Source organism: Homo sapiens, chromosome 2, assembly GCF_000001405.40.
Source record: "Homo sapiens chromosome 2, GRCh38.p14 Primary Assembly".
Lineage (NCBI taxonomy): Eukaryota > Metazoa > Chordata > Mammalia > Primates > Hominidae > Homo > Homo sapiens.
The window spans coordinates 151,491,649-151,512,273 of NC_000002.12; the positions used below are offsets into that span (position 1 = coordinate 151,491,649).

Sequence of the window (20,625 nt, forward strand, 5' to 3'; positions counted from 1 at the left end):
TGTTTATGTTGTAAGCCTTTTTCAGCTAACACACCATTAATCATGTGTAAGCTTCGGGACTGGATGTTGTCTTCTGCTGGATCATAGTCAAAAACCGAACCAGGATTAGTACGCCAGACACGTAAACCTGAAAGGGAAACCAGTGATCAGAACAAGTGTTCTTGGAGTTTTCCAATAACTTGAAAACCAAGGCATGAATTTTAACAACCACCAAAGGATTGAATCACACTTATTCCAGCTTAGGTTCTGGGTCATGTCTTTTCCTCAGAGGAGAACAAAGATAAGGTAGAAATCAGCTTTGTAAACTATGAGATAATAGGAGCTTTCTTGCACCTCTAGAAAAACAGATTGAAGTCCTTTATGTTTTGACTTGATGTAGGTAATGCTACTTTTGTTCTTCTACCCCCTCACTTAAAGTTAATCCCCTCCCCCAACCCAGGCTCAGTTACCTGTAATAGTCTCCTGATCTTGGTCATTCCGTTTTTGTTCCATTTCTACCACTTTCCTCTGAATACCTCGGTAGTTAATGTCACTGAAGTCCTGCATGTTCTTCTTTACTCGTTCAGTGATAGGATCTGTCACCACTGGTGTGAAGCAACCCTTGTGTTTCTCAAAGTCTTCATGATATTTCACCTGAAATGTCATGAATTTGCTTTATGAAAATATGATGGTGTGACTATATCCCTTTTTACACATTCTGACAGGCAGCCAGCCAATCCTAAAGAATTCCTGACTCACCGTTGAGATGTGCCGTTGGGTCTCCCTCACCCGTCTCATCTCGGGGGTATCCAATACATAGGCAGCTTTGCCTTGTATTTGTTTCCGGAAACTATCAGAATAAAGAACCTGATGCAGGAGAGACCGTGAATGAGTGGTGCTGTCCTAAATCTGAAACCTCAAAGCCTTTCCAGCAGATAGAGATGGATAGGAGCTGGTGAGGGACGCTTGGGTCAACTGAAGGGGCCCAGTGAGACACATGACCAATTTTGGAACAGGCTAATCTGGGGACCAGAAGGGCCCGCCAGTGGAAGAGAAAGGACTTGTTTTGACTTCGAAAATGAAACTCATTTTCAAAGAAGGGGCACGGTATAATTTTGAAAAGAGAGTGACCTCTTGAAATTTGCTAGGAATTACAGCATCAACATATTCGATGGTATTTGGCTCTAAATCTGACATTGTAGGGAATTTGAAAGAACTGTCCTTTAAAACAAGTGATTATTTTCCTTAGGTTGTGTCCAGACTTCATAAACCAATATGCTAATATAGAAATCAAAGTCCTCCAGACACTAAAACCCCAAAATATATCCAAAGAAGGCATCCATTTCAGAGTATTACCCATGTCATAAAGTATCTTAAAACTAAAGGAGAGCAGAAGATTGAGGATGTTAGGAAGTAAATTTGTTATAGTTGGTTACGTAGAACTACCTCAAAGTATAGGGGAAGGAAAACATTGGCAATTAACTTGTTATGTTTAGTATGATGGTTTGGAATGTAAAAGCACAGTTAATGTCTATTTTAGTGTAAATTTTCAGTTGAATAAGTGCAAATTTTTATGGTGTTAAAACGTTACTTTCCAAGATGTTGCATTTTTCTCTTTTAAAATTTTAGTGTGTTTTTCAGTTGAATGAGAAAGGCGTGTTTTTATGATGTTAAAATGTTATTTTCCAAGTTGTTGCACTATTTCTTTTTAGTCCTAGAAAATACCGAGCTAATGTTTTCTTGGTTGCGCTTAGCTCTCTCCATCTCTGGAGTAACAGGTGTCGGAGTTGCTTTTCTCATGTTCTCTTTGTACAATACCTAGGGAAGCCAAAAGAGCATCTAGGCATCAGACAGCAGAAAACCAGGTCTGAAAATCATCACTTAGCTGGTGTTATGGCTCATGTTATGGCTCAGTTATATCACACTGAAGGTAAAGCTATTAAAATGTTACGGTAGGAAGCAAAAGTTTAAGAAAGAAGTAAAATCACTGTGACCTCGTGGGGTTGGTTTGTTGTTTTTAAGTGGACAAGGAAGAATTTTTAAAGATACACAAAAGTTTTGGAAAAACTGTAAGATAAATTAGTGGTACAACCATGTTTGCCAGGGCTGTTAAGATTTTAAGGATTTATTTTTCCTTTCTAAAATACCGAGCTAAAGTTTTCTTGATTGCGTTTCACTCTTTCCATCTCAGGAGTAAAGGGTGTGGGGGTTGCTTTCCCCAGGTTCTCTTTGTATAACACCTGTGAGATACAAAGTCATGCCCGAAAGTCACTACGAGGTAATAATCACTATTAATTATATTGCAAGTTGGGGGGAAATGTTATGTTTAATCTATTACTATTAGTGAGAACACCTCTCAAGAAGAAAGCTTAAAAATAGTTAATGGCTACAGTAAATGTAGTGTGATATTTAGAGCAGATGCAAATGTAACTGGCATTTTGTTTGTTTTTAACCTGGGACAGGGTTAGGAGCAGGCCAAACTGCAAGAGTTATTTTGCAAAATTAAAAGCACTTTTGTTTCTCAAGACAATACCGAGCTAATGTTTTCTTGATTGCGTTTGACTCTCTGCATCTCAGGAGTGACAGGGGTTGCGGTGGCTTTCCCCACATTTTCTTTGTACAAAACCTATGGGAATCCAATGGGTCCAAAAAGCCAAAAAGAAAAAGAGTTAACAGTTACCAAAAAAGGAAATGGTACAGATAACTTTTGATTATCTTTAGGGCCCCAAACCATTTGGGCAATTAGGTTAGATGGAAAGTAGTATGTTTCCTAAGGAAGTTAAGTGTAGTTACAGCAAGACACAACCAGGATAGGCACCTGCCCTGAAACCCTTGAGGACTGCAAGAGAGACCTGTGGTGTTCCTCAAAAGGATGAGAAACCACCATCATTTTACCGCTAGTCTCTCAATGTCAAGCCCCTGAGAGATGATCCAAACAGGAGTTACAGGCATGAGCTTCAATCACACTGAGAAGGTTGAGGCTGTTCCTAATACATCAGCTGTTTGTTTTTTTTTGTTTTGTTTTGTTTTGTTTTTGAGACAGAGGAGTCTTGCTCTGTCACCCAGGCTGGAGTGCAATGGCACGATCCCTGCTCACTGCAACCTCCGCCTCCCGGGTTCAAGTGATTCTTCTGCCTCAGCCTCCTGAGTAGCTGGGATTACAGGCGTGCACCACCATGCCCGGCTAATTTTTGTATTTTTTAGTAGAGACGGGGTTTCACTATGTTGGTCTTGCTGGTCTTGAACTGCTGACCTTGTGATCCGCCCACCTTGGCCTCCCAAAGTGCTGGGATTACAGGCGTGAGCCACCACACCTGGCCCACAGCAGCTGTTTTTTTACTGGACTGTTTTGCAGCACTTAAACTCTCATAGACATATCAGTAAAACTGTAGGCCCTCAGACAAAGCAAAGGGTTTCCCCTACCCTCTTTTTCTTTGCTATCCTCTATGCTCTGCCTCTTGCTTTAGTTTCATACAACATTCAGCTTATCATTAAGGAATAAGGTTTTTGGCTCTTATATCACTATCATGGCGAATCAGTGGAAAATGAGAAACATAGTAACACATCATGATAAATCCTCAACCTCGGTATCTCCCCTCAGTGTCATTCTTGGAAACGTGGGAGATTTAGGAAATGACATTGAAGAGGAAGAATTCTGTTGAAATAGTGATTCTCAACGTGGGGTCCTTGGACAGCAAGGTCAGTAATGAGAACTTGTTAAAAATGCAAATTCTCTGGCCCCCTCTATAACAGACCTACAGAATGAGAAACTAGAGCAGGACCCAGCAATCTGGCTTCACAAACCCTGCACGTTATTCTGATGCGTGCTAATGTTTTAGAAGCACTGTACTCAAGTACTGGAGAAACCTACAGATAGTGGAAATGTGGACACCACAAGGTTGTTTGCTACTGAAAGCTGAAGTCCCCCTGCAAACCTCAATCCCTAGGTAATTTACAACCATATATAATGTCACAGAGCACAAGCTTACGGGAAATGGTTTACTAAAGTTTGCAGTTAAAGACTACAGTAAAACTAAAGAACAACAACAACAACAAACAAAAAACGAAAACTGGTAAAACAAAAAGCCATTCTGGTGACACTTTCATTTTTAAGTAAGTAAATTGATAATCAATAATTGCCAAAACTACTATTGGATCATAATTTATATCATTATTCTTGAAGGAGGGGATCAGGGATTATTTTTCCCAAGGTCTCTTTGTCCAAATCTGACAGGGTAAATTAGAACCTGAAGTCATTGACACAAAAACACAACAAAATCATATTTAAGAAAGAGCCGCATTGGACCTACTCCACCACCCCACACGTACCCGTCCTAAATTTCAAGCATATCTAAAACAAAGAGACCTTGGGGGTAGTGGATAGAGAGTAAGTTTGGAGAGAGAGAAGCAAAAGGATGTTTTATAGGAAAATCTGTTACTTCTTGATATTAGAACTTTATGGATTAAAGCAACCTTGTTATTATGGGGTTAGGCTAGAAGTAGCCCAAAGGAAAAAAGGGTAAATTTGCTAAAGAAATTTCACAAAATTTAAGTTGTCTTTAAAAAGTAGGATTAATATGTATTATTTTAAATCATAAAAGTAGTTTTTAAAATCAGTAAGTAGTTTTTTTCTTTTCTCGCCAAGTACCGAGCTAATATTTTCTTGATTGTGTTTGACTCGCTCCATCTCGGGAGTGACAGCTAAAGGAGTTCCCTTGCCCATGTTTTCTTTGTATAACACCTGTGCGATGAGAAAGCATCCAGAAAAACAACCATGAGTAACATTTCATTTGTTGAGAGGTTTTAAGGGTAAGGTCAACTTCCTTGTTAAGAAAACACAGTCGTCCAAGGAGCCAGAAGTTATATGCTGACAAAATGCCACCAGCTACTTTAGTGGAAGCTGTTGTTGGGATGGGGAATCTGCACCCTCTAGAGAAGCAGGGACCTCAGCTGCTGGGGAAAGGCTGTCAGAGTTATCCATGTTATTTTTTTTCATTTTTGTGAGTACGGTGCCTCCTAAACAATCACATGAGGATTTGAGACTGTTAGAACTCAGTGTTGTTATCCACACAAACGGAAAAACTCATTTTTAAAAAATGATTGAAAATATCAGATGAAATAAAAAATCAAAATTAACTGTATTATGGAAATGGTGTTAGGCTAGAAGTAGCCCAAAGGAAAAAAGGATAAATTTGCTAAAGAAAGAAGTTCACAAAATTTGTCTTTAGAAAATAGGATTAATATGTATTATTTTAAATCATGAAATAGTTTTTAAAATCAGTAAGTAGTTTTTTTCTTTTCTTGCCCAAGTACCGAGCTAATATTTTCTTGATTGTGTTTGACTCTCTCCATCTCAGGAGTGACAGGTAGAGGGGTTCCCTTGCCCATGTTTTCTTTGTATAACACCTGTGCGATAAGAAAGCAACCAGAAAAACAACCATGAGTAACATTTCATTTGTTGAAAGGTTTTAAGGGTAAGGTCAGCTTCCTTGTTAAGACAAAACACAGTTGTCCAAGGAGCCAGAAGTTATATGCTGACAAAATGCCACCGACTACTTTACTTTAGTGGAAGTTGTTGGGATGGGGAATCTGCACCCTCTAGAGAAGCAGGGACCTCAGCTGCTGGGGAAAGGCTGTCAGAGTTATCCATGTTATTTTTTTTTTTCCTTTTTTGTGAGTACCATGCCTCCTAAACAATTATATGAGGATTTGAGACAGTTAGAACTCAGTGGTGTTATCCACACAAACTGAAAAACTCATTATTTTAAAAAAAAGATTGAAAATACCAGATGAAATAAAAAATTGAAATTAACTGTATTATAGAAATGGGAATGGTGTTAGGCTAGAAGTAGCCCAAAGGAAAAAAGGATAAATTTGCTAAAGAAATTCACAAAATTTAAGTTGTCTTTAAAAAGTAGGATTAATACGTATTATTTTAAATCATGAAAGTTTTCAAAATCATTAAATAAGTAGTTTTTTTCTTTTCTTGCCAAAGTACCGAGCTAATATTTTCTTGATTGTGTTTGACTCTTTCCATCTCGGGAGTGACAGGTAAAGGGGTTCCCTTGCCCATGTTTTCTTTGTATAACACCTGTGCGATAAGAAAGCATCCAGAAAAACAACCATGAGTAACATTTCATTTCTTGGGACTTTTTAAGGATGAGGAAAAAACACAGTCATCCAAGGAGCCAGAAGTTATATGCTGACAAAATGCCACCGACTACTTTAGTGGAAGCTGTTGTTGGGATAGGGAATCTGCACCCTCTAGAGAAGCAGGGACTTCAGCTGCTGAGGAAGGGCTGTCAGAGTTATCCATGTTATTTTTTTTCATTTTTGTGAGTACGGTGCCTCCTAAACAATCACATGAGGATTTGAGACTGTTAGAACTCGGTGTTGTTATCCACACAAATGGAAACATTCATTATTTTTAAAACATGTTTGTTTGTAAATATCAGATGAAGTAAAAAATTGACATTAACTGTATTATAGAAATGGGAAAGTATATCCTTTTGTAATATAAGATGTATTAGAAGCAAAGAAGGGAAATGGGCTTCAAACAAAAATAAATAAATGTAAAGATCAGTTTAATTCTGAAGTTAAGTGGCATTTTTTCCCCTTTCTTTCCAAAATACCGAGCTAAGGTTTTCTTGATTGTGTTTGACTCTCTGCATCTCAGGAGTGATGGGGATTGGAATTCCTGTCCCCAGGTTTTCTTTGTATAGCACCTGTATGATGAGAAAGCATCCAGAACAAAAAAAGCAATCAATCAGTCATTTTCCCCCTGCTTTGGAGCAGTTGGGAGTGGGAAGGGAGGAAGAGAGTAAGTTAGAGGAAGAGAAATACCAGAAGCTTTTAGACTCAACCTGTTTGTTTGAGCCTAAAGACATCTTCAAAAGCAAAGGAATGCAGGAAAGAGCAGCAAAAACTAAGAAATAGGAAAAGAAAGGTTGTTATTTTCATTGTTTGAACTAATCTCTGCAGCACTGAGCAACCGTGAAAGAGCAATTAGTCTTTTCCCACCTTGTTACAAGGAGGGAAAAAAGTAGAAACAGACAAGAAACCAAGGAAGTTACTTTTGATTTGAAAATGCTGTTAATCACATAGGGATATTTGGGTTTTACAAACATTGTGTATATGGAGACACATACACACAACTCTTCTTTTGTTCACTTTCAAAAGAAGTCAGAGTATTTAATTTTTAGTTTGGGTGAACACATTGAGAACAACGATGTTTAAGGCAAATGGAGAGCAATGATAAGGTGCTAAAAAAAAGAAACTTCAAAATATCTGTACAAATAACAGTAGAGATAGAAAAGGTTAGAATAAGAAACGAGGATAATAGTCGGATCTTTGCAAAATACATTTGTTTAAGCTTTAGGTTCAGATCAAATTTGCCAAAGCAGTATAAATGTGGATGCTTAGACACTGAGAATGTTACATTTGTAAAAGCAGGAATATAATACTGAACACTTTTTTTATTAAGTTAAATGATTATATTAATGTTTTACCAAAATGGGGAAAACTGATTCATAGGAAATGGCAGCATTAAGTTGGGAAAAAGACAGGTCAAATTTTTTATTGGGATGAGTTGATTAGATTTTTAAAATCTAGCCATTAATCTTTTTAAACATTTTTTTAAATAATTAAAGGGATTTTTTATTTTTAAATACCGAACTAAAGTTTTCTTGATTGTGTTTGACTCTCTCCATCTCTGGAGTGATGGGGATTGGAATCCCTTTTCCAACGTTTTCTTTATACAACACCTGTATGACACAAGAAAGCATCCAGAAAAAACAAGAGCAGTCAAAACAGCCCTTTCATCTACCTTGTGGGGAACCTGGTATAAAACTACAGACGTCAGACAGAAAAGACAGATTCAACAAGTCAACCTCTCTGTTCAGGCACAGATCTGGGTGAGAACATGTTTTGTATTTCCTTAGTGAAATATCAGTGTATTTGATATTCATCATCTTTTTATTGTAACTTGAATATATTTATTTCCTGTGCCAGGAATTAAGGAAAAAAATACAAATAATTTCCTAAGACCACTAAAATACTCAGTGTACAATAGAAAAATTGCTTAAGTTAGATTAGCAAGTATTTATTTTCTCTACAAAAAGCGTTTGTCTTACGGTCTAACAAATATTTAACAGGCCAAATCTATGCAATATGGCAATTTGGTCCTTGTCATTAAGTTCAAGTTGTTGTAGAGATGGTCAAGTATAGAGGTTCAATATGTGGCATTGTCTATTTTCCACAGTATCTAATAGGCTTATGCACCACTGGGCAATTTTGCCTAAATGCAATCTGTGTAAAAATTAACACAAATGGTTACTTTAAAAAAAGTCCAGGATCATTAAGGTTTCAAATAGATACAAATAATAATATACTTACTGTAGTATACAAGAAAATAATTAGAAAATAATTTTGAAAATCGTTGCAAGCCTTTCAATAAAAGGAATAATAATTACAACCCACAGGGAAAACAATGAGTATAACATTCCAAAAGACATATTAACATTGAAAATTTAACAAAATTGAAGGATTGTTAGTGAATAGTAATTAAAAAACAAAACAGAACAAAAAGACAGTGGGACCAAAGAAAGTTACTGATCTAATTATGTCAAAGAATCAAACTTTTAGAATATATTTAAACTGACAATTAAAAATATTTTGGATTAATTCCCACTCCCCAGAAAAAAATCCATCTAAATTTTCCTAATGACATTTGATTCTCCATCACAGGTATAAGTGAACCTAAGGTCTTGATATAGAAGCTTCAGAGTTGTATATAATACACAAATAATTTGTGTGTTAGAGTTTTTCAGCAACAATATTAATAAAAGATAACATTAAATATAAGCTCATGATCTGATTTGTATATTAAAAAAAAATCAGAAGGCCTGGATTTCTATTCATGAAATGGCTTGTTTTGAATAAGTATCAAAATAAGATTTCTTTCTTCCTTTTTTTTTTTTTTTTTTTTGAAACAGGGTCTCACTCCTGTTGCCTAGGCTGGAGTACAGTGGCACAATCACGGCTCACTGCAGCCTTGACTTCCTAGGGTTCAGATGAACCTCCCACCTCAGCCTCCCAAGTAGCTGAGACTACAGGCATGTGCCACCACGCTTGGCTAATTTTTTCTATTTTTAGCAGAGATGGAATTTCACCATGTTGGCTAGGCTGGTCTCGACCTCCTGGGCTCAAGTGATCTGCCTGCCTCGACCTCCCAAAGTGCTGAGGTGACAGGTGTGAGCCACCACGCCTGGCCCCAAATAAGATTTCTTTTGGTTTCAATATGGAGCAATTTTCTTTCTTGGTGCTATTGTTTATCTGAATAGGGTCTATGTTAAGATGATCCCTGTTCCTAAGGAAGAGCCACCATTTCTATATGTGGCTTCAAGTCCAGTATCTTTTCTTGCATCTCTAACCCAGAAACATCAGATAAAAAGAGTTCCAAGTAAATAAGAGCTTTAGTGTTTGGTTTTTCTTTTCTGGAAATCAATTAACTTCAACAGTCCCAACAACATAAAGATGAAAAGAGAAGGAAAGAAAAAGTTTTAAGGGACTATTATAGAAAGTATAAAATGTTTGTTAGAATCAAATGGTGAGTAGGAGATCTGGAAAACAGAAGGATTCAGTTGATGTGATTAAAAAAAGATTTTGTTAAATTGATTATTATAAAGGGATGAACAGTGAGATGTTCTGTTTTGTAGAAATTATTATTTTTTAATATGGAGTTAAAGAGCTTTCTCCCAAATACCGAGCTAAAGTTTTCTTGATTGAGTTTGACTCGCTCCATCTCAGGAGTGACAGGTAGGGGAGTCCCCTTGCTCAAGTTCTCTTTGTACAATATCTGTGTGCACAAAACCAACAAACAAATCAACCTGGACCCATCATTTTTTAGGTAGACTTAACCTAAAAAAACAGCCTAAAAGAAGTATTTTTATTGTTGTTTTTATGATGAAGTACCTCAGTAACTTTTAAAAATAGAGTTAACTATAGATCCCCTTTGGACATTTAGTCACACACAGGATGTCTGTCTCTAAAAGACATCAGTAAAACACAGCTGCCAGGCTGCCGGCAGGAGTGGCTTGACTTATGTAGGCCTTCTCTCAAAGACCAGAGTATCAAATAGCATTCAAACTAATTGAAATTAATATCCATGAGTTGTTGGTAACATTAAATTAGGGAACCAAAGAAAGAGGAGAGAGAGAGACAGGTAGGTTTGGGGGAACAAAATAAAGAATAAATGTTGAAAGCTAAATAATACTAGCTTTCAATGATACTGAAAGTTTTCCAAAGGAAAAATTAATTTATATCTTACATAGCATACAAAAAATAGCCAAGACAAGTAAATTATATTTACTGTGAATTGCTGTGTTGTCTTTGAATGAAAATGTTTAAGAATGACATTCTTTTAAGAAAAGCTGCAAACCAGTGACCTCTAATGAGATTGGAGACTAGTATTGTAAGTGAAGTAACTCAGGAATGGAAAACCAAACATTGTATGTTCTCACTGATATGTGGGAACTAAGCTATGAGGATGCAAAGGCATAAGAATGATACAGTGAACTTTGGGGACTTGCAGGAAAGAGTGGAAGTGAGGCGAGGGAATAAAACACTACAAATATGGTGCAGTGTATACTGCTTGGGTGATGGGTGCACCAAAATCTCACAAGTCACCACTAAAGAACTTAGTAACCAAATACCACCTGTACCTCCCAAACTTATGGAAAAATAAATAAACATCTAAACATAAAAAAAAAAAAACTTAAAAGCTGCAAACATAAAGAATACATTAAACAGCCACAATAAATACAAATAAAATTCTAATTAACATTGTCCTTTTGAAAGGGTGTTAGATTTTACTTTTGACTGTGTTACACCAGTTAGAAACACCTACTGTTATTAAAGGAGGAATGGAGGAAGAAAACAGAGTATTACAGGTTTTTAAAGAAAGTGATAAATATCTATGTTTTAGAGAAAACACAGTTAAAATTTCACACCAGAACTAAATACTAAATTAGATTTGGGTTGAAAACTGAGGTAATATTTGGTATCATTATTTTCATTATATGAATTTAGTAATTTTACATTTGTAAGGTGTTATTATTTTAAATAAAATTAAGGGATTTTTTTTTTTTTGGCCCCCTAAGAAATACCGAGCTAAAGTTCTCTTGATTGCGTTTGACTCTCTCCATCTCTGGAGTGATAGGTGTTGGGATTCCTTTCCCCAAATTTTCTTTGTACAAAACCTGTGAGATACAAGAAAGTACCCAGAGGACATTTAAAACAGGCACAGAGAGTAAGGAAGGAAGGAAATGGGGGAAGGGGTTATATGTGAGGAGGCAGTTTTTTAGTAAGTAATATTTAGTAAGGATAATGTTTTTACTTTTTTCACAGTTTTAATGATGAACTCTACAATGCTAATTCTGGAAATGAAAAAGTACAATGGAAAGCATTAAGTTATATAACGCTGAGGAATCTTGTTAATTCTACTTATAGTATTTCAAATCTAGTCAAGTCACTGAAAATGTTCAAGTATAATCGGAAATGTGAGTCATTTTGTATTAACATAATTTTGGTCAGGTAATAATACACAACACACACAGACACACACAGAATTGCTGTTAAGATGTTACTTTCTTTAAAAAAGATGGGTTATTGTGGTAAATTTTTTATGGGAAATAGTTTCTTATATGATATATTTGTAAATACCGAGCTAAAGTTCTCTTGATTGCGTTTGACTCTCTCAATCTCTGGAGTCACAGTGGTTGGAATGCCTGTTCCCAAGTTTTCTTTGTACATAACCTGTAGAAAATAATTAGAATACCCAGAAAGGTAAAATGACCGTAAATCCTTTAGATAGCAGCCACATGTGGGCTATTTGGGGGAAACTCATAAAAACAATCTAGCTCTCAAATATAACATTCAAGGAACAGGGGGGAAAATTCCATGAATATTTATGTTGTCTTTTCCAAAATAGTAAAAATTTTTACTACTTTGAAAACTGGGCACTAAATTATGCATTTTCTGTAACCACTTAGTGCATGCCTAAAATGCATTAATAAATAAATTTACCAATGAGAAAAATCTAACCATTTTGTTGCATCTAGCTTTGGTGCCTCAAATATAGTAGGCCTGCAGTAGACTTGTACTTAATGAATAGATTGCTTGGTTTAAAATTTTCCAATCATAGGATACTCTATTCCTTCAGGCTTATTGAGAATTTTCTTTTTGTTTTGTATGTTCTAATGAATGTTCCTCGCTGGCTCCTAATCTGTAGGAGCCTAGTCCCTGGATGTGAGATGGCTTAATCAGTTTATTTTTCAGGAAGAGCATCTTTACCTGAAATTTTTACTGCTAATTGCTGGATCAAGTAAACTAGTGTTTTCTGAATTGGGAGAAGTCCATATTTTTTAGTAGTAGTATCTAAGGACTATGCATTTTAATGAAAACATTAAGGAACCTCCACTCTCTGAGCCTCCTTAACTCTTAACATTAAGTTTTCAGCCTAAAGGACTGAATGAGTTCTTTTAAATGGATGGATTCCCTGGTGTATTAGTGCATGGCGTGGGGAGCAACGTACCCAGATTTTAATTCTTAAAATCAGTGACAAGCTAGGCGTGATAGCTTTGTTTTGCAAGGAAGCTTCTAGGAACCTTTGAACATCTACCTTCTTGGTAACAAAGTTGCATTTCTTTACTCTTCACCCAACAAAGCAGCAGAATTGATCTCGGACAACAGCACAAAGCAAAATTAAAGAAAACCAAGAAGTTGTAATGCAAAGTGACAAAGGAGCCTAGGCTAGCTTTCTCAACTCTTATTAGAGGACACAAAACTCTAAATGAAATTTGTACCACAAGGAAATCTGTACCACAGAGTATAAGCAGAGAGTGAGAAGGGAATGAGATCTAAATAATATGAACAACCTGCAAGAGAAATATCAAGTATCCTAAAGAAAATCAAATGAGAGTTCAGTCCTCCATTGACCAGGGGAATCCCAAGACCAAGGTCCTCCCCTTTTATTGGCCATAAACTATTTCCCAAACTTCACATAGTCTTTTGCTAGTAGCCAACACCTGCCTAGAATCTGCGTATGGATGGGAAAAGGGGTGGGTGCAGAGCCAGGGCTTGCTTGACAAAAGGTCAGGAGAAATGTGCTAACCTGATATTTCAGGTGTGGGGGACACGTGCCCTGCAATAAACTGCACAGGTGCCTGAAATTCCCATGACAGAACAGGCTTAATGTATAATATACCATTGTAGGTAGATCGCAGCCTGTACCACTGCATTTACTAGATGGAGAGAGCAAAGAATACAGGAGAAGAAACCTTGAAAGGGAGGGGAGAAGAGACTTCACATGTCTACCCAGGGTCTTTTTGGACACTGGGAATCCTATCATTCATATGATGTGTCATACATACACACACACATGTTTTATATATATACACAAAACCAAAGTATGTTATACTACTTATATGTTTATATGTATATGCTTTTAGTTAAATTACTTGAGATCATCCCAATAACCTTATTACTACCATCAAAACATTTTACTTTGGAAACGAATGGCATGATAATTAATTAAGAAGCCAAGTCCATGAGCTTCAAGTCAGTGACAGGTAGGAAAAGAAAGCCAAATCCCTTCTACTCCTTGATTATGAGAAAAGTGGTTTCTTATCTACTTTTGCAACCTGTAGTGACCCCATCAAGACTAAGGGAGAATTCACAACATCCCCAAGGCATGGAAGCTCTTGATAGGAAGCAGAAAGATGAGAGAGCACCAGGGTAGCAATTGAGAGATGGCCAGTCACACAAATGGAAGCTGAGAGTATGGCCACTACCGAGCTAATGTGCTTCTGCGTCTCCTTCACACGTTTCACTTCAGGCAGGTCAGGGATTGGAGTTCCTTGTCCTATTGCTTCCTTATACTTCACCTGCAGATTTAAAAATGGGAAAAGAAAGGTATTATTACATGCTGGACTGTTATTCTTCCCAACATGTACATGTTTTTTGTAGCCCCCAAATTAAAAAAATTAACAGTGTAAATAACGCAGGCTTTATACTTAGTGTGAATGGGACCTCATTCTGATACTGGGTAAGAGGAGAACAATTCCAAGGACAGGGACGCTTTGTCTCTCTCTCGTCTCTTTGGGGCAGGGATGGGGGCCCCTATTTAGACTGCAGCCCTTTCCTGTATACTCCAATGTCTTTATGCCCAGCAGGTCGTTTGACTAGGATAAACAGATTGACATACATATATCCAGGAAGGTTGGTTCTTTGACTGTACCGGATTCTACCTTCTCACAAGCCTCTCTGTTTTTCAGATCTAATCTCTCCCTCATGAAAACCGCCAAGGCACTGCACTGAATATGAGATGACTCTAGCCACTGTGTGGTGGTGGTACACAGGCACCTATTTTAGCAATATAAGCTGTTTCTGGTGACAGAGGCTTTGAGTGCAACTCATAGGTCATTGTAAATTATCAAAGGGAGGCAGAAAATATTGCAAGTGCATTCACTGTGTCTTTACCGAGCTAATGTGGTCCTGTGTTTGTTTCACTCTCATCATCTCAGGTGTCTTTCCGATAGCCGTTCCTGGTGAGACATCCTCTTTATATAAAACCTGGGCATTCAGAATCAGGACAGTGTTAACACAGAAGAAAAGAAAACCCAGCAGTTCCTGGAGAAAGACTAGGACACATGGCTTTTGTGAAAACAAGACACTAGACGATGTTCCCAGGCAAGTGCCAGAGCATCGCACCTGACATTTCCATGTCAGTATCAGTGACTCAGACCAGTTATACAACATGGATCTTTCCAGATCTTAAGATTTCTTCTAAGATTGTGGTATACCATACTAACACAGGATGAGAAGAGCCAGGAAATGTTGATTAACAACAAAACCCTCCCCATATGTAACACAAAATCCATTAAAGAAATGCAAACTCAGTCAGTTATTTGGGGGAGGGATAACAAAAGAAATCACAATGTCAAAAAGAAATCCATCTTCTTGGAGCAAGACAACACATGTTACTGCCCTGGGATTAAAAAATTTAAAAATAAAAGTTACGTTGTTAGCAGATTTAAAGTTATTTCAAATGGTCTCTGGAGATGATTTTGGAGCAAAGTATTGGGGATTTTAGCAAATCACTGCTAGTATTACTGAGGAGGTTAGATGTTAATTGTGTGTATCAATATAAGGCTAGTATATTTTTAAAGAGGAGAGTGAAATGACTAGGTTAGCATTAAATGCAAAATAAATAGTAAATATACCGAGCTGAAATTCTTCTGATTTTCTTTTACACGCAGTATTTCTGGCGTGTCTTGAACAACTGTAATTTTTCCTTTACTGTTTTTAAGGTCACACTGGTATTGGAGCTATGAAGAAAGAGTAAACATCTTGTTAAGATTTCAACATTGCTTTGTTTTCTTTATTTGTCCTATATTATGTGAAGAAAATTAAAATCCTGTATCTTTAAAAAAAAGTCTATGCACAATAATTATGGTCTGGTAGCCCAAGGGAAATTATTTGATAAGAATTTTGTGGAGAAACTAATTTTAAAAAACATATAAAGCTAGGGGTTTGTTTTTGTTTAAGTATCCCTTGCTTAGTAGATTTAACTTTGAAAAAGATAGATGTCTCCACTAATGGAAAGCAGTGATAGTTCACATTCAGTAAAGGAAGCCACTGACAGGGTTTAGGATACACTACCCCAAAATAATGGCACCTTGGCATTTGAAAAAACAGCAGAAGCAGGAGGGTTTTTCTGGCCTTCTCTGTTTTTTCCTGAAGCAGATAATAATTATCTGACCTTCATTTAAAGCAGGCAATAAGCCTCTCCTTCCAGAAGGGTCCTCCCTAGACCCAGAGGAAAGGAGCCAAAGACACAGAGATACTAGGAGAATCTGAACAAACAGCCATCGCTAAATCCCCTGTTTATTACCATTGGATCATACCCCTCTTTGTCCAATCACACTTCCGCATCTCTATCCATAAAAATACACATATTTCCCTGTTTCTTTGGGTAGTCATTTCTGAAGCTTTTATTGAATAAATTGTGTGTCTCTCTTGTTAATCTGTCTTTTGTTACAGGGGTTTTCGCCATGAACCTTGCCATGGGTGAGGAAAAGATACTATATTTTCTCCCCAATACCACCAACGAAGTAACAGATGAGTCTTTCATGCTGTGATTTGGGATTAAGATACAAGGTGAGCCCAGAGATGAATTGGGCACACATTTCCTGGGGCAGGATGGGAGTTGTGGAGGGCTGCACAACAGCCCCACTGCAAGCCTGGGATATCCAGAGGCATCTTCCTCAGCACCCCTAGGTGCCTGTGGGCTGTGCCTTACATTTAATAAAAACTTACAAGGCTGAAGTTCTTTTGGTTCTCCCGGACTCTCTGTATCTCTGGGGTGTCCAAAACAGTCTCATAATACGACATGGACTTCTCAGCATCTTCCTTGTACTTTTTCTGGGAATAGATTCCAAGAAATAAGGAGGGTAAACACCACAGGGATATAGGCCAATGGGACCTAAAATAGGCTATTTTAGCCCTTCCAGGCTCAGCAGAGGGAAAGTCCTTTGTATTTTCTTAACTGTCCAAGGATGTTAGGGCATCGCAAGGAAGAACCCTCTCAGTCAAAGAAAGAGCACCATACTTTTTCTTTCCAGGAAAGCTAAGCCCAGACATTCAGTAGGACCTATTGTCATGGCAAAGCTGGCAGAGGGGGAACCTTGCTAGCTGGTCCACAGGAGGAAGGTCACAGCCAGCAAGGCCCAGAGAGGGAGATGGGGATGCCTCCAGTGGCAGTAGTCCTCGCTGGGCTGGATGAAGCTATGTAGCCAGACTGTTCAACAGGCAGGCGGAGAGAAGCTGGAGGGTTAAGAGTCAAAGACATGACCTCTAGAAAGCCTTAGCTGGTGACAAGATGTTCACTGAGCCATGAGCAGGTGCGGTCAGGGCTCCCAGCTATAGGACTGAGCCGGCAGTCAGACAGGCAGGCCCAGAGGCATTTCCAGAATATGGCTCTTGATGCTGCAGAAAGCAGCCTGACAGGACTGGCAGCTCTACCAAACAGACACACCTGGAGCACTACTAAGGCCAGCTGACTGGCCAAGGACTGCTCTGAACCAGACATCACTATTCCTTGGGCTCCCCTGTCCTGCCCCAGCCTTTGGCTGGAGAGACGTGTCCATATAGAGGCTGCTCTTCCAGACACCAGTGGGCAGTCAATCTCACCACCAAACTGATGATTGTTTTTATTCTCTGCAGCAGAACACTTTAGAGCCTTATTTTTCTTTCATCATCGCTTGTCACTGTCCTTTCACTTTTCTCTCTAGCTTAACTTAGCTCCAGTTTTTCCCACTCTTCAGGGAAGTTTTAGTTTGTAGGGCTGAGGGCTGAGGAATGAGACTAGCCACTGTTATAATGGGGATAAAACTATTCTGTCTGTCTCTATGTACTTTGTTAATATAGGAATTACATTTATAAGTATTGAAATTTGTAATCTTGCCAGAGACAACAAACAAGCAGTTTCAGCCAATGAGAGATGTAGGCCTAGATTTTGTTCATCTAAATGGAAGCGAATTAAAGCCAGATTTTTCGGAAGAAACGGTAGTTCATCATGAACAAATGTTTTGTTCATGAAAAAGTCACCTGGATGACTCCTTAGCTATGTAGATGTAAGGAAAACAGTTCTCATTGTCCTGGGAAAAGAATAGAAACAATCGTCCTTTTATTTTATTTTTATTGTTTTTCTTTTATTTTTTCCAAGATTAAGCAAAAGCTACCTCAACTGGTTTGCAGAGCTGGTGCTAATCCCTTAGAGGGATAATCACATTTGCACACAGAACTTGGATGTATTCTGGGAGAAAGGGACCTGAACTCCCTGGTGTTCCCAGACCAAATTGAGGGTTGGACTGCTATTTCTCGTGGCCCAATAATGAAATGCAGATGAACTGGGGAGGAAGAGAGGTTTTTTTTTTGTTTGTTTGGTTTTTTGTTTTTTGAGGCGGAGTTTCGCAGTGTCTCCAGGCTAGAGTCCAGTGACGTGATCTTGGCTCACTGCAACCTCTGACTCCCTGGTTCAAGCAATTCTCCTGCCTCAGGCTTCCGAGTAGCTGGGATTACAGGTGTGCACCACCACAACCAGCTAATGATGGGGTTTCACCATGTTGGTCAGGATGGTCTCAATCTCCTGACCTCATGATCCACCCACCTCGGTCTCCCAAAGTCCTGGGATTACAGGCGCGAGCCACTGCGCCCGACCAAGAGTTTTTATTTCTGTAACTGGTTACCGGGAGAAGGCCTGGAAATTATCACCAGGCCAACTCAAAATTACAAAGTTTTTCAGAGCTTACCTTTTAAGCTATATGTCTTTGTGTAAGTGTTCATTCATCTAAAGACATAAGTGATTAACTTCTTTTAATTTATAACTAAGGTCTGAGTTCTGAAGACCTTCCTCTGGAGCCTCAGTAAATTTACTTAATTTAAATGGGTTCAGGTGCTGGGGTGATTACTCGTATGTTGTCTCCTGCTAAATCAGGGAGGTTTGAGGAGTTTCTTCAGACCCCCAATAAACTTGTTTGTGGAGGCCTGGGGAGTTTTTTTTAGACCCACAGTAAAACTTGTTTAATTCTACATGGGTCCTGTTAAGAATTCCTTCATTATTTTGTTATGCTTTAAGGCCCAGGAAAGGCCTAGCCGAAACTTTTGGTGGGCTTTTGTTACATCCCAGCCTTTGTACAGGGACACTGGCTTTTAATATCTAACTTAACCATTCATTTAGTACTCAAACAGTTGTTAGTGAGACCTGGCCTGCCATACTGGCATTAAGTATTCAGTACAGTAGTCCCCACTTATCTGAGGTTTCACTTTCCACGGTTTCAGTTAACTGTAGTCAACCTCGGTCAAAAATAAGAGTACATTACAATAAGATATTCTGAGGGAGAGAGAGAGACCACATTCATGTAACTATATAACTTTTATTACAGTATATTGTTATAATTGTTCTATTTTATTAGTTATTGTTGTTAATCTCTTACTGTGCTAATTTACAAATTAAGCTTTGTCATAGGTGTATATGTATAGGAAAAACCAGTATATATAGGGTTAGGTATTGTCTGTAATTTCAGGCATCCACTAGAGGTCTTGGAACATATCCCCCTCGGATAAGAGGAGACTACTGTATAGTATCCTAAATTTGTGAGTCAGCTTACATTGCTTGTATTAACCCCCAAGTATGAGGTTTAAGAGTTATAAATACAGATTCTCCATTGGAAATCGAGAAGCAAGTTTGTGGAAACACAAGCACCATCTCACCAGTATTTACCATTCAACTGTAAATACTGATCTGAATTGGGGAGGAACTAACTTGCCTGGCTATATTTTAGGCCTTGAGGAACCAGCCAAAGAGAGCCCCAGGAGAGCAGAGCAAGTGACGTGATCCCACACTGGGATAGGTCCACATGCTGAAGCTTTCGTTAAAGATCAGCAGTGTCAAAAGCAGAAGGTAAAAGGCTGGTGAGGCTCTCACAGCCCAAAGAATATCAGCCTCCCTGGCTCCCTCAGTGAACACAACATGGTAATTTGGAGCCCATATCATTTTGGTAGTTTTTAAAAAGCTAATTATTCTTCTGCATCCCTACCCTTCAAAGAAAAGAAACATTTCCACCATTTGAATATACCTGCTTCCTAATCAAACCACTCTCTAGTGATAACTATATTTTTCATGTGTAATTTTACAATATACAACTATATGTTTCCAGTAAAGGGTTGAAATCCTTGATTCCCCAACCTGATTGGTCATTAAGAGATCATCTGTGAAAATTAAAAACAAACAAAAATAGATTTCCAGAGCCTACCACAGATTTACTAGCATCAAAATTCCAGAGTTGGACCAGCGAATCTACATCCCCAGGTGCCTATAAAGCACAGCTAGGGCACGTTAACTATGGCTTTGGAACTCATTGATCAGAAGACAAGCACAAATTCTAATCTGGCACCACTCAAACAAATTGCAGACTCCTGACCATCACTGACAATCGTTCATACAAGTGAAGGCCTATCCCAGGGTGTGAAGGATGGCCTACTTTTCTTCATCTCTCTATTTGTAGGAAGATGATGGAGAGTTATTCATCATGAGGGGAGTCAGGGGTTAGACTGTGTGGTCTCAATCTCAGTCTTGTTTGAGATTGGTAATCCAAATGTGGGCTACTTTGTTTCTTCCAGATCTGCGCACACATTTTTAAAGCCACATCATAAGAGATTTTACATGTTAAAATATTGATTCATTAATTACAAGTTGTACCATGTTCTTCAGTACCTTAAAAGAGTTCTTCACTACCTTAAAATTCCTGCATCATAGGTTACCCTCTCACTCTTTTTTTTTTTTTTTTTTTTTTTTTTTTTGAGACAGAGTCTTGCTGTGCTGCCCAGGCTGGAGTGCAGTGGCGTGATCTCGGCTCACTGCAAGCTCTGCCTCCCGGGTTCACGCCATTCTCCTGCCTCAGCCTCCCAAGTAGCTGGGACTACAGGTGCCTGCCACCACGCCCGGCTAATTTTTGTGTATTTTTTTTAGTAGAGATAGAGTTTCACCGTGTTAGCCAGGATGGTCTGGATCTCCTGACCTTGTGA

At 38.3% G+C, this 20,625-nt stretch overlaps 2 protein-coding genes across 66 annotated transcripts in view; one reads left to right on the plus strand and one right to left on the minus strand.

The window, feature by feature from the left end:
* The window catches only part of RIF1 (replication timing regulatory factor 1), a 124,534-nt gene that overhangs the window by 81,747 nt on the left and 22,162 nt on the right, over positions 1 to 20,625 (plus strand). For 3 of the 19 annotated variants that reach the window (XR_007077536.1, XR_007077539.1, XR_007077547.1), the window contains 4 exons: positions 3,581 to 3,678; positions 7,757 to 7,892; positions 11,386 to 11,537; positions 14,562 to 15,402. The exons of 4 other annotated variants lie outside the window; for them this stretch is intronic. The gene's annotated coding sequence lies outside the window, so the exon portion shown is untranslated. Of the gene's footprint in view, positions 1 to 3,580; positions 7,893 to 11,385; positions 11,538 to 14,561; positions 16,366 to 20,625 lie in introns of those variants that run through there. 12 more of the 19 variants (XR_007077533.1, XR_007077541.1, XR_007077530.1 and 9 more) reach the window with 8 other exon arrangements.
* Positions 1 to 20,625, minus strand: part of NEB (nebulin) — a 249,138-nt gene that overhangs the window by 6,310 nt on the left and 222,203 nt on the right. For 9 of the 47 annotated variants that reach the window (XM_011511227.3, XM_011511226.3, XM_005246613.3 and 6 more), the window contains 18 exons: positions 16,357 to 16,461; positions 15,261 to 15,365; positions 14,518 to 14,610; positions 13,830 to 13,922; positions 11,701 to 11,793; positions 11,145 to 11,237; positions 9,743 to 9,835; positions 7,650 to 7,742; positions 6,612 to 6,704; positions 5,978 to 6,070; positions 5,293 to 5,385; positions 4,628 to 4,720; positions 2,513 to 2,605; positions 2,127 to 2,219; positions 1,705 to 1,797; positions 739 to 846; positions 450 to 633; positions 35 to 127 (listed from right to left, as the gene is read on the minus strand). In XM_011511227.3, coding sequence (XP_011509529.1) covers positions 35 to 127; positions 450 to 633; positions 739 to 846; positions 1,705 to 1,797; positions 2,127 to 2,219; positions 2,513 to 2,605; positions 4,628 to 4,720; positions 5,293 to 5,385; positions 5,978 to 6,070; positions 6,612 to 6,704; positions 7,650 to 7,742; positions 9,743 to 9,835; positions 11,145 to 11,237; positions 11,701 to 11,793; positions 13,830 to 13,922; positions 14,518 to 14,610; positions 15,261 to 15,365; positions 16,357 to 16,461 — 1,804 coding nt within the window. Of the gene's footprint in view, positions 1 to 34; positions 128 to 449; positions 634 to 738; positions 847 to 1,704; positions 1,798 to 2,126; positions 2,220 to 2,512; positions 2,606 to 4,627; positions 4,721 to 5,292; positions 5,386 to 5,977; positions 6,071 to 6,575; positions 6,705 to 7,649; positions 7,743 to 9,742; positions 9,836 to 11,144; positions 11,238 to 11,700; positions 11,794 to 13,829; positions 13,923 to 14,517; positions 14,611 to 15,260; positions 15,366 to 16,356; positions 16,462 to 20,625 lie in introns of those variants that run through there. The other 38 variants (XM_047444477.1, XM_005246594.3, NM_004543.5 and 35 more) reach the window with 34 other exon arrangements.